The 14,050-nt window shown below is 45.2% G+C and overlaps 2 pseudogenes; one reads left to right on the top strand and one right to left on the bottom strand.

The window, feature by feature from the left end:
* Positions 6,755-7,005, bottom strand: RPS26P43 (ribosomal protein S26 pseudogene 43; annotated as a pseudogene).
* RPL31P47 (ribosomal protein L31 pseudogene 47) lies at positions 8,161-8,500 on the top strand (annotated as a pseudogene).

The following is a 14,050-nucleotide window of genomic DNA, read 5'->3' on the forward strand; positions in this document are numbered from 1 at the left end:
GGGTGACAGAGCAAGATTCTGTCTCAAAAAAAAAAAAAAAAAAAAACCACAAAATATAAAGTCAGTTTTTCATAAAAAGGTTCTGTATATTATATAAGGTATTTAAAATAGTCAAATTCATAGAAACAAAAAGTATCACAGTAATTGCCAGGGACTTGGGGGTGGGGAAACTGATAATCTGTTGAATGGGTTCATTCTGCAAGATGAAAAAGTTCTGGAGATGAGTTGCACAATGATGTAAATATACTTAACACTACTGAACTGTACACTTACCAATGATTAAGATGGTAAATTATATGTTATGTGTGTTCTACCACAGTTAAATTTTTTTACTCTTAAAAATTTTTTTAAGTTGTCTATAAATTAGTTGCTGCTGCTATTTTTTATTAATACTACTAACAGTAATTATATACTGTCTTTCTTTAAATATGTATTGAGTATTCACTATGTGTCAGGTGCTGTGTAGACCCTAGAGAGCTTTTTAACTTATATGGTGAATAAATATAATATGATGGCCAGGCACGATGGCTCACATCTATAACCCCAACACTTTTGGAGGCCAAGGTGGGAGGATTGCTTAAGGCCAGAAGTTTGAGGTGACCAGCCTAGACAACATAGTGAGACCATGTCTCTACAAAAAACATTAATTAAAAACTTAGCCAAGTGTAGTGGCACACACCTGTAGTCCCAACTACTTGGGAGGCTGAGGCAAGAAGATTGCTTGAGTCTAGGAATTTGAGGCTACAGTGAGCTATGATCAATGACACCACCGTCCTTCTGCCTGGATGACAGAGTGAGCTCTTGTCTCTAAAAAAAAGAAAAGAGGGTCGGGCACAGTGGCTCACGCCTGTAATCCCAGCAATTTGGGAGGCCGAGGCAGGTGGATTGCTTGAGCTCAGGAGTTCAAGACCAGCCTGGGCAACATACCTGTCTCTACAAAAAAATACCAAAAAAAAAAAAAAAAAAATTCAGCCAGGTGTGGTGGTACACACCTATAGTCCCAGCTATTCAGAAGGCTGAGGTGGGAAGATCACTTGGAGCCTAGGAGGTAGAGGTTGCAGTGAGCTGAGATCACACAACCGCACTCCAGCCTGGGTGACAGAGTGAGACCGTGTCTCAAAAAAATAAAATAAAATAAAATAAAATAAAATAAAATAAATAAAGATATGATTTCTTCATTTTAAACTACAAAACACTGCTGACAGAAATTTTAAAAGGCCTAAATAAAAGGAGAGATATGCCATTTTTGTGGATTCAGACTCAATTTTGTTAAGAGGTAAACTCAATTTGATCGAATAGAGTCATTAAAATCCTAAGAATAAGTCAAATCGGTTATTTTTGTGGAAATTGAGTTGATTTTTAAGAATTATGTGAAAAAGCAAAGATCTAGAAGAACAAAAGCAGTCTTGAAAAAGCAAAACAGCTGGGCACAGCAGCTCATGCCTGTAATTCCAGCAGTTTGGGAGGCCAAGGCAGGCATATTATTTGATGTCAGCAGTTCAAAACTGGCCTGGCCAACATGGTGAAACCCTGTCTATACTAAAAATACAAAAATTAGCTGGGCATGGTGGGAGGTGCCTGTAATCCCAGCTACTCGGGAGGCTGAGGCAGGAGAATCACTTGAACCCAGGAAGCAGAGGTTGCAGTGAGCCAAGATTTGTGCCACTGCACTCCAGCCCGGGTGACAGAGCAAGACTCCATCTCAAACAACAACAACAAAAAACACACCAAAGTTGGAGAATTCATTACCTGACTTTAAGACTTACTATAAAGCTTAATAATCAAGCTTAAACACAAATATTACCAAATCTAACTGTTCTAGTTATTTATTATTGTGTAACAAACTATCCTAAAATAGTGGCTTAAAAACAATAACATGGCCAGGCACAGTGGCTCATGCCTGTAATCCTAGCACTTAGCACTTAGGAGGTGAAGGTGGGAGGATTGCTTAAGGCCAGGAGTTCAAGACCAGCCTGGGCAATATAGCAAGACCCGATCTCTACCAAATACAAACTAACAAATAAATAGCCGGGAGTGGTGGTGCATGCCTATAGCCCCAACTACTTGCGAGGCTGAGGCCAGAGGATTGCTTGAGCCCAGGAGTTTGAGGCTGCAGTGAGCTATGATCACCACTGTACTCCAGCCCGGGTGACAGAGGGAGACTCTGTCTCAAACAAACAAAACTCAATAACATTTATTTTGCTCATGAACCTGGGGGCTGACTGGGCTCAGCTGAACAGTTCTCACTTGGGTTCTGCCATGAAGATGCAGTCAGCTGGTGGCTGGGACTGGAGTCATCTCCAAGGCATCCTCACTCACATGTCTGGCACCCAAGCCAGGACCCACTCAAACAGCTGGGGGCTGGAAGAGCTGAGGCCCCTCCTCTCTCTCTATGTAACCTTTCCAAATATGGACCTCAAGGGGACCAGACATCCTACAAGGCAGCTGTAGGAACAATGAACATCCAGAGAGCCAGGTGGAAATAACATGGCTTTAATAATCTAGACTTGGAAGTTAACCAGCGTCACTTTCTCCTCATTCTATCCATTAGAAGTCAGTGCCTGAGGACAGCCCATATTCAAAGGCAGAGGAATTAGACTCTGTACATTAAAAAAAAAAAAAAAAAAAAAAGCACGGTGGCTCACGTCTGTAATCCCAGCACTTTGGGAGGCCGAGGTGGGTGGATCACAAGGTCAGGAGATCGAGACCATCCTGGCTAACATGGTGAAACCCCGTCTCTACTAAAAAAAACACAAAAAATTAGCCGGGTATGGTGGCGGGTGCCTGTAGTCCCAGCTGCTCGGGAGGCCGAGGCAGGAGAATGGCATGAACCCGGGAGGTGGAGTTTGTAGTGAGCCAAGATCGCGCCACTGCACTCCAGACTGGGCGACAGAGCGAGACTCCGTCTCAAAAAAAAAAAAAAAAAAGTAGCTGAGTGTGGTGGCAGGTGCCTGTAGTTCCAGCTGCTTGGGAGGCTGAGGCAAGAGAATAGCTTGAACCTGGGAGGTGGAGGTTGCAGTGAGCCAACATGCCACTGCACTCCAGCCTGAGTGACACAGTGAGACTACGTCTCAAAAAAAAAGGCCAGGTGCAGTGGCTCACGCCTATAACCCCAGCACTTTGGGAGTCCAACGCTGGTGGATCACCTGAGGTCAGGAGTTCAAGACCAGCCTGGCAAAACCTGTCTTTACTAAAAATACAAAAATTAGCTAGGCATGGTGATGCATGCCTATAGTCCCAGCTAGTTGGAAGGCTGAGGCAGGAGAATTGCTTGAACCCAGGAGGCGGAGGTTGTAGTGAGCTGAGATTGCACCATTGCACTCTAGCCTGGGCAACAGAGCAAGACTCCATCTCAAAAAAAAAGAAAAAAAAAAGGCAGACATATTTTTAAACCACCCTGGGAACCAAAGAAGTGAAGAGCCTGAAATAAAAATCACTCTTGGCCTAAATGAAATTTTGGTCCAAACAAGAAGGGACCTGGTAAAATGGTGGGAAATGCATCTGAGACTCTTTTTTAGCTTTCTTAAGGCTCCAGGTGAGATTTAGCCACAGTGGGAGGTGCATGAGAAGGCAAGAAACCTGAGTGAGGGCTGGAACTTTTCCCCACCTCATATAAAGTCTGAGCCTTACTTGACTGGATGAGATTCTGCCATCTGGCCTTTGCTTCCGTGCCTTTGGAACATGCTGTTCCCACTGACTGGGCTGCTCTTCTTCTCTCTCATCTGGCCATCTCCTGCTCATTCTTTAGGCTCAGCTTAGGCATTTGCTCCTCCAGAAAGCCTCCCTCCATCCTCAATCCTGGGTCAAGAGCTTCTTCCACTGGATTTCATAACTCCCTGTCCTCTGCCCTTTCTCAATGCTCACTGGTGTCTGTCTCATTGCTGCGTATTTACGTGTTCATCCCTTTTCCTCTTTCTAAAGTGTAAGCTCCTTGGGGGCACAAGGGAGTATTTTGTACTCCTTTGTATCCATAGCGCCCTAGTAAAGGTGATGGATGATTTAAGCAAGAGGATGGAATATTCCTGAGCTATGTCAGGACTCAAAGCCTCACAAGGAAGCAGCTGCAAGATCTCTCACTTTGTCCCAAGGTCTCCTGCGTCACCTCCCTGCACAGGCAAACCAGAGCTGGGCAAAGCACATCTGATGGTGTGATTAGTAGTTCCTTAGTGGGAGTAGCCAACACTGCAATCTGCTCAACCATGGCCTCCCCTCCAATCTCCCCAAATCAGCCAACTCCTCTTTCCAGTTCCTCTCTGGGAGTAGACTGACCTGCTTCCCACTAAAACCACAGACCTGATAATAGGAGAAAAAAAAATAAGGGTCGAGAGTAGGACAATTGGTGGCAACGAGATGAACACAGATTAATGATGCAGACCTCGCCCTGGCCTCCCCAGCCTAAGCTGGGGAAGGTTCATAGTTGATACCCATTAAAGGGCTTAATGAAATAATTATAATTCACACCCCAGAGCATCTGAGAATCAATACTGGGGAACTTTGAACCACTCTGGGGGTGGCACCCCACTGGCTGCACAGTTCAGCGCAGCAGGCAGAGCTGGTGGAAGTAAATGCAGTTGACACGGAAGTTGCATTAAAAGAGGGCAATAATAGATTAAAAGCTGCCAGGATCCTGGCGACTGGCCGTCGATATCCTTTATTCCCTATCTCGCCCCAATTCTGCCCCCTCTGTGCACTATTAGCCCAAATCGATGGGCTGTCAATTGACATCACTGGCTACAGCATTAATGCAAGCTCACAAAAGAAGCCCGACCCTAGATTATCACTTCTCTCGCTTCCAAATTACAACATAATGCAGGCCGCGGGCAGCTTGTGACATGTTAACACTATACACGATTTGTTGGGATTGGACTAAACATTTCATAGCTAAAGATTTCATCAGAGACTTGATGACAGGAATAAACTGCTGCCCACGGGGAAATCACTGGAAATAATAGAATTAGGCATTGTTTGGGAATCCGGAGGGACGCTGGAGGGACGAGGAAGGATGTCGGGGAGCAGGACCTATAGCTGGTGGCCTGCTGTGGGAGCAGCTTCAGGGAAAGAGATGGCAATTAAAAGGCCTTTTTGTTGGTCCCACTAAAGGACAGGTATTTGGATCTTGTCTAGGGCTTACGTACTTTCTATTTTTGTGCAAAAGCTGGGAAGGGAATTTCTCTTCAGTGATAACAGGGAATATAACTGCTGTGGGTCAAATTGTGTCCTTTCTCCCTGCGGTCCACCCAAATATGTTGAAGTCCTAATCCCCAGAACCTCAGAATGTGACCTTCCTTATTTGGAAATGGGGGTCTCTTACAGAGGTAATCAAGTTATAATGAGGTGCAGTAGGACATGTGTTCCTATAGAAAGGGGAAATTTGGGCTGGGCATGGTGGCTCATGCCTGTAATCCCAGCACTTTGGGAGGCCGAGGCAGGCAGATCGCTTTGAGCTCAGGAGTTTGAGACCAGCCTGAGCAATATGAAGAAACCCAGTGTCTACAAAAAAAAAATGTTTTAAATTAGCCAAGTGAGGTGTCTCACGTCTATAGTCCCAGCTACTTAGGGGGCTGAGACTGGAGAATTGCTTGAGCCTGGGAAGCAGAGGTTGCAGTCAGCCGAGACTGTGCCACTGCACTCCAGCCTGGGCAACAGAGTGAGACCCTGTCTCAAAAAAAGAGGGGAGGGGAGTGGTGGGAATCTGGACACAGAGACAGACAGGTACAGAGAGATGATGTGAAGACACACAGAAAGAAGACAGCCATGTGACTGGAGTGATGCAAGAAACACCTGAAGCTACTAGAAGCTCATAGAGAGGCATTGGACAGTTCCCTCCTTTAAAGGAAGCATGGCCCTACTGACACCTTGATGTCAGGCCTCTAGCCGCCAGTAGATTTCTGTTGTTTTAAGCTACACAGTTGTTGGAACTTTGCTACAGCAACCTTAGGAAACAATACTAATTATTACAATCTAATAGTGATAATAGCCCCCATTTATTGAGCATCTCTGAGAGTCTGGCAAAGACTGGCTAATTTCATCCTCATAACAAAATAATGGTTGAGTATTATAACCCCCATTTCTTTTTTACTTTTTTTTTTTTAGACAGTTTCACTCTTGTTGCCCAGGCTGGAGTGCAGTGGTGCCATCTCCGCTCACCGACCTCCGCCTCCCAGGTTCAAGCGATTCTCCTGCCTCAGCCTCCCAAGAAGCTGGGATTACAGGCATGCACCACCACACCCGGCTAATTTTGTATTTTTAGTAGACACGGGGTTTCTCCATGTTGGTCAGGCTGGTCTTGAATTCCCGACCTCAGGTGAGGTTGGGAGTTGCCTCAGCCTCCCAAAGTGCTGGGATTACAGGCGTGAGCCACCGTGCCCAGACAATTTTAATTTTTTTTATGTACAATTTCTATTTTATTTTTCTCCAGAGAATAATCCATCTTCAGTCTTTTTTTTTTTTTTTTTGAGACGGAGTCTTGCTCTGTTGTCCAGGCTGGAGTACAGTGGCACGATCTCGGCTCACTGCAAGCTCCGCCTCCCGGGTTCACGCCATTCTCCTGCCTCAGCCTCCTGAGTAGCTGGGATTACAGGCGCCTGCCACCATGCCCGGCTGATTTTTTTTTTTTTTTTTTTTTGTATTTTTTTAGTAGAGACAGGGTTTCACCGTGTTAGCCAGGATGGTCTCAATCTCCTGACCTCGTGATCCACCTGCTTCAGCCTCTCAAAGTACTGGGATTACAGGCGTGAGCCACAGTGCCCGGCTCGTCTTCAGTCTTTAAGGACTCAGCTCCTTACATGGGCTTTGGTGGGGGTCATGGGGCAGCACCCACGGGTATAAATGGACCTTGCTGGTGTCATGAGATTAATTCCTGACTACTTTGCTGTGAATTGCACAACTCACACAGTAATGTAGCTTCACATTCAGCTTGGGAAGCACATAGGTATCGAAGACGCTTGCTTCAGAAATGTCCCTGATTGCTGCAGCCTCCACTATGTTTCAAATGACAAATTTTTTTTATTTTTTTTGAGACAGAGTCTCACTCTGTCACCAGGGCTGAGTGCAGTGGCACGATCTTGCCTCACTGCAACCTCTGCCTCCCTAGTTCAAGCGATTCTCCTGCCTCAGCTTCCCGAATAGCTGGGACTACAGGCGCTTGCCACCATGCCCAGCTAATTTTTGTATTTTTAGTAGGGACGGGCTTTCACCATGTTGGCCAGGATGGTCTCAATCTCTTGACCTCGTGATCTGCCCACCTTGGCCTCCCAAAGTGCTGGGATTACAGGTGTGAGCCACCGCGCCTGGCCAAATGATGAATTTCTCAATGGCCTTATCCTTGGGCACGCATCGGGCACAGTTCTTGCAGTGAATAGACTGCACGTGACCGAAGCCCTTCTTGGCAAGACCGTTGTTCCTTCTTTCCTTTCTTTCTTTCTCTTTTTGACATGGAGTCTCGCTCTGTCGCCCAGGCTGGAGTGCAGTGGCGCAATCTTGGCTCACTGGAACCTCCGCCTCCCTCGTTCCAATGATTCTCCTGCCTCAGCCTCCTGAGTAGCTGGGATTACAGGCATGTGCCGCCACACCTGGCTAATTTTTGTATTTTTAGTAGAGTTGGGGTTTCACCATGTTGGCCAGGCTGGTCTTGAACTCCTGACCTCAGGTGATCTGCCTGCCTCAGTTTCCCACAGTGCTGAGATTACAGGCGTGAGCCACCGCGCCCATAAGGCCACAACCCACCTTCTTTTCAGTACAATCTAATCTTTTCCCAGCTCCTAAGGGGACCTGTATCCACTTGGTTTGAGTGACCACAATGTCTCAAATGAAAGTGTAGAAATTTTTAAAAAAATAAAAAACAGGCCAGCACAGTGGCTCACGCCTGTAATCCCAGCACTGTGGGAGGCCAAGATGGGTGGACCGCTTGAGGCCAGGAGTTCGAGACCAGCCTGGCCAACATGGTGAAACCCTGTCGCTACTAAAAATACAAAAAATTTAGCCAGGCATGGTGGCGCATGCCTGTAATCCCAGCTACTCCTGAAGCTGAAGCCGACAATCCTTTGAACTCGGGCAGTGGAGGTTGCAGTGAGCCGAGATGGCGCCACTGCATTCCAGCCTCGGCAACAGAGTGAAACTCTGTCTCAAAAAAACAAAAACAAAAACAAAAACGAAAAGGTCTGGACCCAGCAGAATGGCTCTTGCAGAGAAGGGCGGTGAGAAGGACCATTCTGCCATCAGCGGAGGTGATCATCTGAGACTCCACCATCAACATTTACATGCGTACCCGTGAAGTGGGCTTCAAAAAGGGTGCCCCTTGGGCACTCAGAGAGATCCGGAAATTGGCCATGGAGATGCGGACTCCAGATGTACACATTGATATCAGGCTTAACAAAACTGTCTGGGCCAAAGGAATAAGGAATGTCCCATACTATATCCATATCCATGTGCACAGAAAACATGAGGATGAAGATTCACCAAAAACAGCGCTGTACCTATGTACCTGTTACCACTTTCAAAAATGTATAGACCGTCAACATGGATGAGCGCTAACTGTTGATTATAAAATAAAAGTATAAAACTACCAAAAAAAAAAAAGCCCAGTAAACCCAGCACAGCCATGATTATTCCATTCTTTGAGAGTAAGAATCTTATTTTTTTTTTCTTTTTCCTTCTTTTTTGTGGAGTGGGGGGGCGGACAGAGTCTCACTCCATCGCCCAGGATGGAGTGCAGTGGCACCATCTCAGCTCACTGCAACCTCTGCCTCCCAGGTTCAAGCCATCCTCCCATCTCAGCCTCCCAAGCAGCTAGGACCACAGGCATACGCCACCATGCCCAGCTAATTTTTGTGTTTTAGTAGAGATGAGATTTTGCCATGTTGCCCAGGCTGCTCTTGAATTCCTGGCCTCAAGCAATCCACCCACCTCAGCCTTCAGCTGAGCAATATTGTTCTTCCTCATCCATGTTCCCAATTACAATGGTAGGCCTTTGTCTCTGTCTCTGTCTCGCTTTCTCTTTTCTCCTTGCAGGGGAAACCAGCCCTACGCCTCTTTCTTTTTCAGTTAATATATGTATTTATTGAGATCATACAATTCACCCATCTAAAGTGTGTAATTCAATATTTTTAGTTTACAGAATTGTGCAATCATCACAATTAATTTAGAACAATCTGATCACCCCAAAACAAATATCCCATACCCTTTATCACTCTGTATTTCTCCCCGTTTTTCCCCTCAGCCTATGCAACCATCAATCTTTTTTGTCTTAAAAGATTTCCTATTCTGCACATTTCATATCAATAGAATCATATGTGTTTTTTTATGACTGGGTTCTTTCACTTACCATAATGTTTTTAAGGCTAATCTATGTTGTACCACATATCAGTACTCAATTCCTTTTTTTTTTTTTATTTGAGACAAAGTCTCACTCTGTTGCCCAGGCTGGAGTGCAGTGGTGTGATCTCAGCTCACTGCAACCTCTGCTTCCCGGGTTCAAGCGATTCTTTTGCTTCAGCCTCCGGAGTAGCTGGGATTACAGGCACACACCACCATATCCGGCTAATTTTTGTATTTTTAGTAGAGATGGGGTTTCACCACGTTGCCCAGGCTGGTCTTGAACTCCCGACCGCAGGTGATCCGCCCTCCTCCTCGGCCTCTCAAAGTGCTGGGATTACAGGTGTGAGCCACAGCGCCCAGCCCCATCAGTGTTTTCCAAAATGGCTATACCACCAACAGTGTATGAGGGTCCTAAGTTCTCTACATCCTTGCCAGCTTGATTATACGAGAAATTCCTAATGTACGAGAAATTCTATCTCTGTGATAACTTGCATTTCACTGGTGGCTAATGTTGAGCATCTTTTCATGTGCTTATTAGCTATTTGTTTATCTTCATTGAAGAAGTGTCTATTCAGACATTTTGCCCATTTTAAAAAATGGGTTGTCTTTTTGAGTTATGAGTGTTTTTCATATATTCGGGATAACAGTCCCTTATCAGATATATGATTTATATTTTATCTAGTTTTATGGGTTTGCCTTTCACTTTCTTGATGGTGTCTTTATCTTGGCAACATGGCAAAACCCCATCTCTACACAAAAAAGTACAAAATTAGCTGGCCGTGGTGGCATGCGCTTGTGGTTCCAGTTACTCAGTAAGAGGATCACTTGAGCCCAGGAGGCGGAGGCTGCAGTGAGCTGTGATCATGAAACTGCATCCCAGCTTGAGTGACAGAGCAAGACCCTGTCTAAATAATAATAATAATAAAATAAAATAAATAAAAAATTGAGCTGGCTGCATGCTCTGAATGTTCTGTGCTGTGGCCCAGTGTTCTAGGACAGGCCCCATTGCTCCAGGCAGGCCCTGACAGTCTTATACTGCAGACTAGCTACACTGTCTCTGTTCATCCCACTGACTCCACATAGTGCCCAGATCTCAGGGGCAATGTAAAGACCTTTATTCCGGTCAAGATCTTGGCAATTCTGTTATTGCCAACTTTCCTTTACCCAAATCTGCTCCAGGTTTGATCACTTTCTTCTCATCACATGCAACTCTAATGTTGGCTCCCCACCCTGCAAGGAACAGAGAGTGAGTCTGAGCTCATCCAGCAACCACCCTCCCACTCTTCCAAGAGAGATGATCATGAGCAGACTATTATAAAGCACAAAGGGAGCACATTCTACCCTCTTGGGTACCTGCTCCACCCACCCCTTTTTATTCATTCACTTGACAAATATATGTTGCTTATGTGCCAGACACTGGGAACACAGGTGTGCACACAGGTGCTTCTCCATTCTTGGGTGAGCTTCCTGAGGAATTTAAGCATTTCACCAAAGTGTGTTGAGAAACCCAGAAGCAGTTCAGGGGGATGAGGGAAATAATATGGGGACTTAAACTAGCCAGTGTGGCTCCGGAAAGGCTATATTCTCTGAGCTTTTTCTTCACCTCACCCTCTGTATTCTAAACCTGTCTGTATTACCCATCCCTCCATACCCATTGCCCAAGTATCCTGAGATCTCAACTCAAGCCATTACTCCCACCTAAGCAGGGCACTTGCTCAGTTGAGAATGCTGGGCCGGGCGCAGTGGCTCACACCTGTAATCCCAGCACTTTGGGAGGCTGAAGCGGGTGGATCACCCGAGCTCGGGAGCTCGAGACCAGCCTGACCAACATGGAGAAACCCTGTCTCTACCAAAACCACAAAATTAGCCGGGCATGGTGGCGCATGGCTGTAATCCCAGCTACTCGGGAAGCTGAGGCAGGAGAATTGCTTGAGCCCGGGAGGTGGAGGTTGCAGTGAGCTGAGATCTCATCATCGCACTCCAGCCTGGGCAACAAGAGCGAAATTCCATCTCAAAAAAAAAAAAAAAAAAAGGAGAAAAAGAATGCTTTGCCTGGAAGGTAATTGTGGATATTTAGAGCTGACTTCCTTTTCCTTCTTCATTATTTGCTGTGCTTCCAGCTAGAAAGCACAACAAACAGCACAGACAATGCTACAGCAGCTTCCCCCGGGGTACTCTGATAGTTTTATAAATAGCTACTGCCATCTAGTGGACAAAGATGACTACATCAGTACGTAGACCCACAGATACGGAAACTCTCAGCGTTTCTATTTATGTCCTGCAACCACTTCATCCCACCTTAATGGAATCCAAAAGACCACTTTTCCTTTGAAAGCCTAAAGCCTGGAACATTGTAAGTACTCAATATAGTTTGGACAAAGGATTTTTCACGGGCATTGTCATTTTTTAATTTTATATGTAACAAATATTGTAGTAATATTGTTGGATAATTTTATTATTGTGGCTTTATACTATTGCCTTAGAAGTTTAAGTCTATTAAGGGCCAGGCGTGGTGGCTCATGCTTGTAATCCCAGCACTTTGGGAGGCGGGCAGATTGCCTGAGCTCAGGATACTGAGCCTCGGTACACGATGAAACCCCATCTCTACTAAAACACAAAACATTAGCTGGGTGTGGCAGCGTGCACCTGTAGTCCCAGCTACTCAGGAGACTTAGGCAGAATTGCTTGAGCCCGGGAGGTGGAGGCTGCAGCAAGCTGAGATCACACCACTGCACTCCAGCCTGGGAAACAGAGCAAGACTCCCATCTCCAAAAAAAAAAAAAAAAAAGAAAAATGTCTAATAAGGTCAAGTAGAAACTGAGAGAGCTATAGTAATAAAAATACATTTTAGAATATAACCATATTGCCAAGTTCACCAGAAACCTGCATGTAACTCCTAAACTGGACCTAGAGATTAAGTTTTTTGGCCTGTCTTCCCAATCCAGTAGCGCCCTGTGCAGCAGGGACAGAACCATCTAGGTCATGGAGTTTCCTCTTATAAACTCAAACCTCCTTACAGTAACTTGCAAAAGCAAATTTTGCCACCGTGTAGATTTGTGCATGCACAGCCAGAGCATCCAAACATCCCTCCATTGTAAGGTTATTTGGAGAATCAAATAAGGGGAGAAGCAATTGCCATTAACTCGAAATTCAATGGGAAGTGGTAGACACTGCTGTCCCTATGGTTACCTTCTCTTTCTCTAAGCCTTACCTAACAGCTAATTAGACATTTATAGGGTTTAAACATCTTTACTGGTTTTTTAAACTACTAGCCCACAGCAGAACCCTAATTACAAACAATAGGCCAGGCACAGTGGCTCACACCTGTAATCTCGGCACTTTGGGAGGTCAAGGTGGGGCAAACCATTTTGAGGTCAAAAATTCAAGACCAGCCTGGCAACATGGCAAAACTCCCGCTCTATAGAAAATATGAAAATTAGCTGGGCATGGTGTCCCAGCTAGTCAGGTGGGAGAATGCAAAGGTGGGAGGATGCAAAAGTGGGAGGCAATGTCTGCAGTGAGATCGCACCACTGCACTCCAGCCTAGGTAAGGGAGGCTGGAGGCTCTCAAAAAAAAAAAAAAATCCATTTCCCCAGATTAGACTATGTGATGACATTAAGTGTCCACCTGAGCCTCAGTATCATCTATAAACACATTCTGGTTTATAAATAGATGAAAGTATAATACGAATAACTGAGAAAACCTAGCAAATATTAATTCCCACCTTCCCAGGCCCCAATTCCTTGCTATACATTACACATGTCCAACAAGTTATTATCTGTATAGGGGAAACATTGCCATATTTACTCCTCTAATTTTGTGTTTTGCTAATGAACATTAAGCTAACATTAACCTGAAGTTCAAAAATTTACAGTAACAGCTACCACTGAAAACCTTCCACATATTTTTAAGATTCCACATGAAACGAGATCAAAGTATATTTACCCTTTAGTCTCGTTGAGTCAAGGCATCAAAAAAGTTTGTAGCATCTCAAATACATGGTATGGCCATGTGCAGTGACATACACCTGTAGAGCCAGCTACTTGGAACTAAGGCTGGGTGACCACTTGGACCCAGGAGTTCCAGTCCAGCCTGCACAAGTGATAACACACCCCTATGGAAAACTGAAGCCCAGGTAAGATTCTCACCCAAACAAAAGAAACATGCCAAAAACGTGCATTGCTGTCAGGTGCAGTGACTCACACCTGTAATCCCAGCATTTTGGGAGGCCGAGGCGGGTGCACCACCTGAGGTAGGGAGATCAGCCTGACCAACATGGAGAAACCTCATCTCTACTAAAAAATACAAATTAGCCAGGAATGGTGGCGCATGGCTGTAATCCCAGCTACTTGGGAGGCTGAGGCAGGAGAATCCCTTGAACCCAGGAGACAGGGTTTGCACCATTGCAATGAGATCGTGCTATTGCACTACAGCCTGGGCAACAAGAGTAAAACCCTTCAAAAAAAGAAGTGTGTACTACTTGTCATTTTTTGTAACCTTGGAGAAAATATGGAATGAGAAGTATATCAAATCGTGCTACAAATTCCCACTGAGATACCCAGACATTAGTAGCCCTTCAGTACCAAAGAGAAAAACTGCAGCTCCTCCATGAATTAGCTTTTTGGCATATGCTAAGATTAGCTAGTCCACTGAAATCTGTCACGTACGTAATGACAGGTAACAGCCTGCTCCCCTAGGCTATCACAACTCACTGTTGGGACCTTAATTAACCAG

Source organism: Homo sapiens, chromosome 11 (genome assembly GCF_000001405.40).
Source record: "Homo sapiens chromosome 11, GRCh38.p14 Primary Assembly".
Classification (NCBI taxonomy): domain Eukaryota; kingdom Metazoa; phylum Chordata; class Mammalia; order Primates; family Hominidae; genus Homo; species Homo sapiens.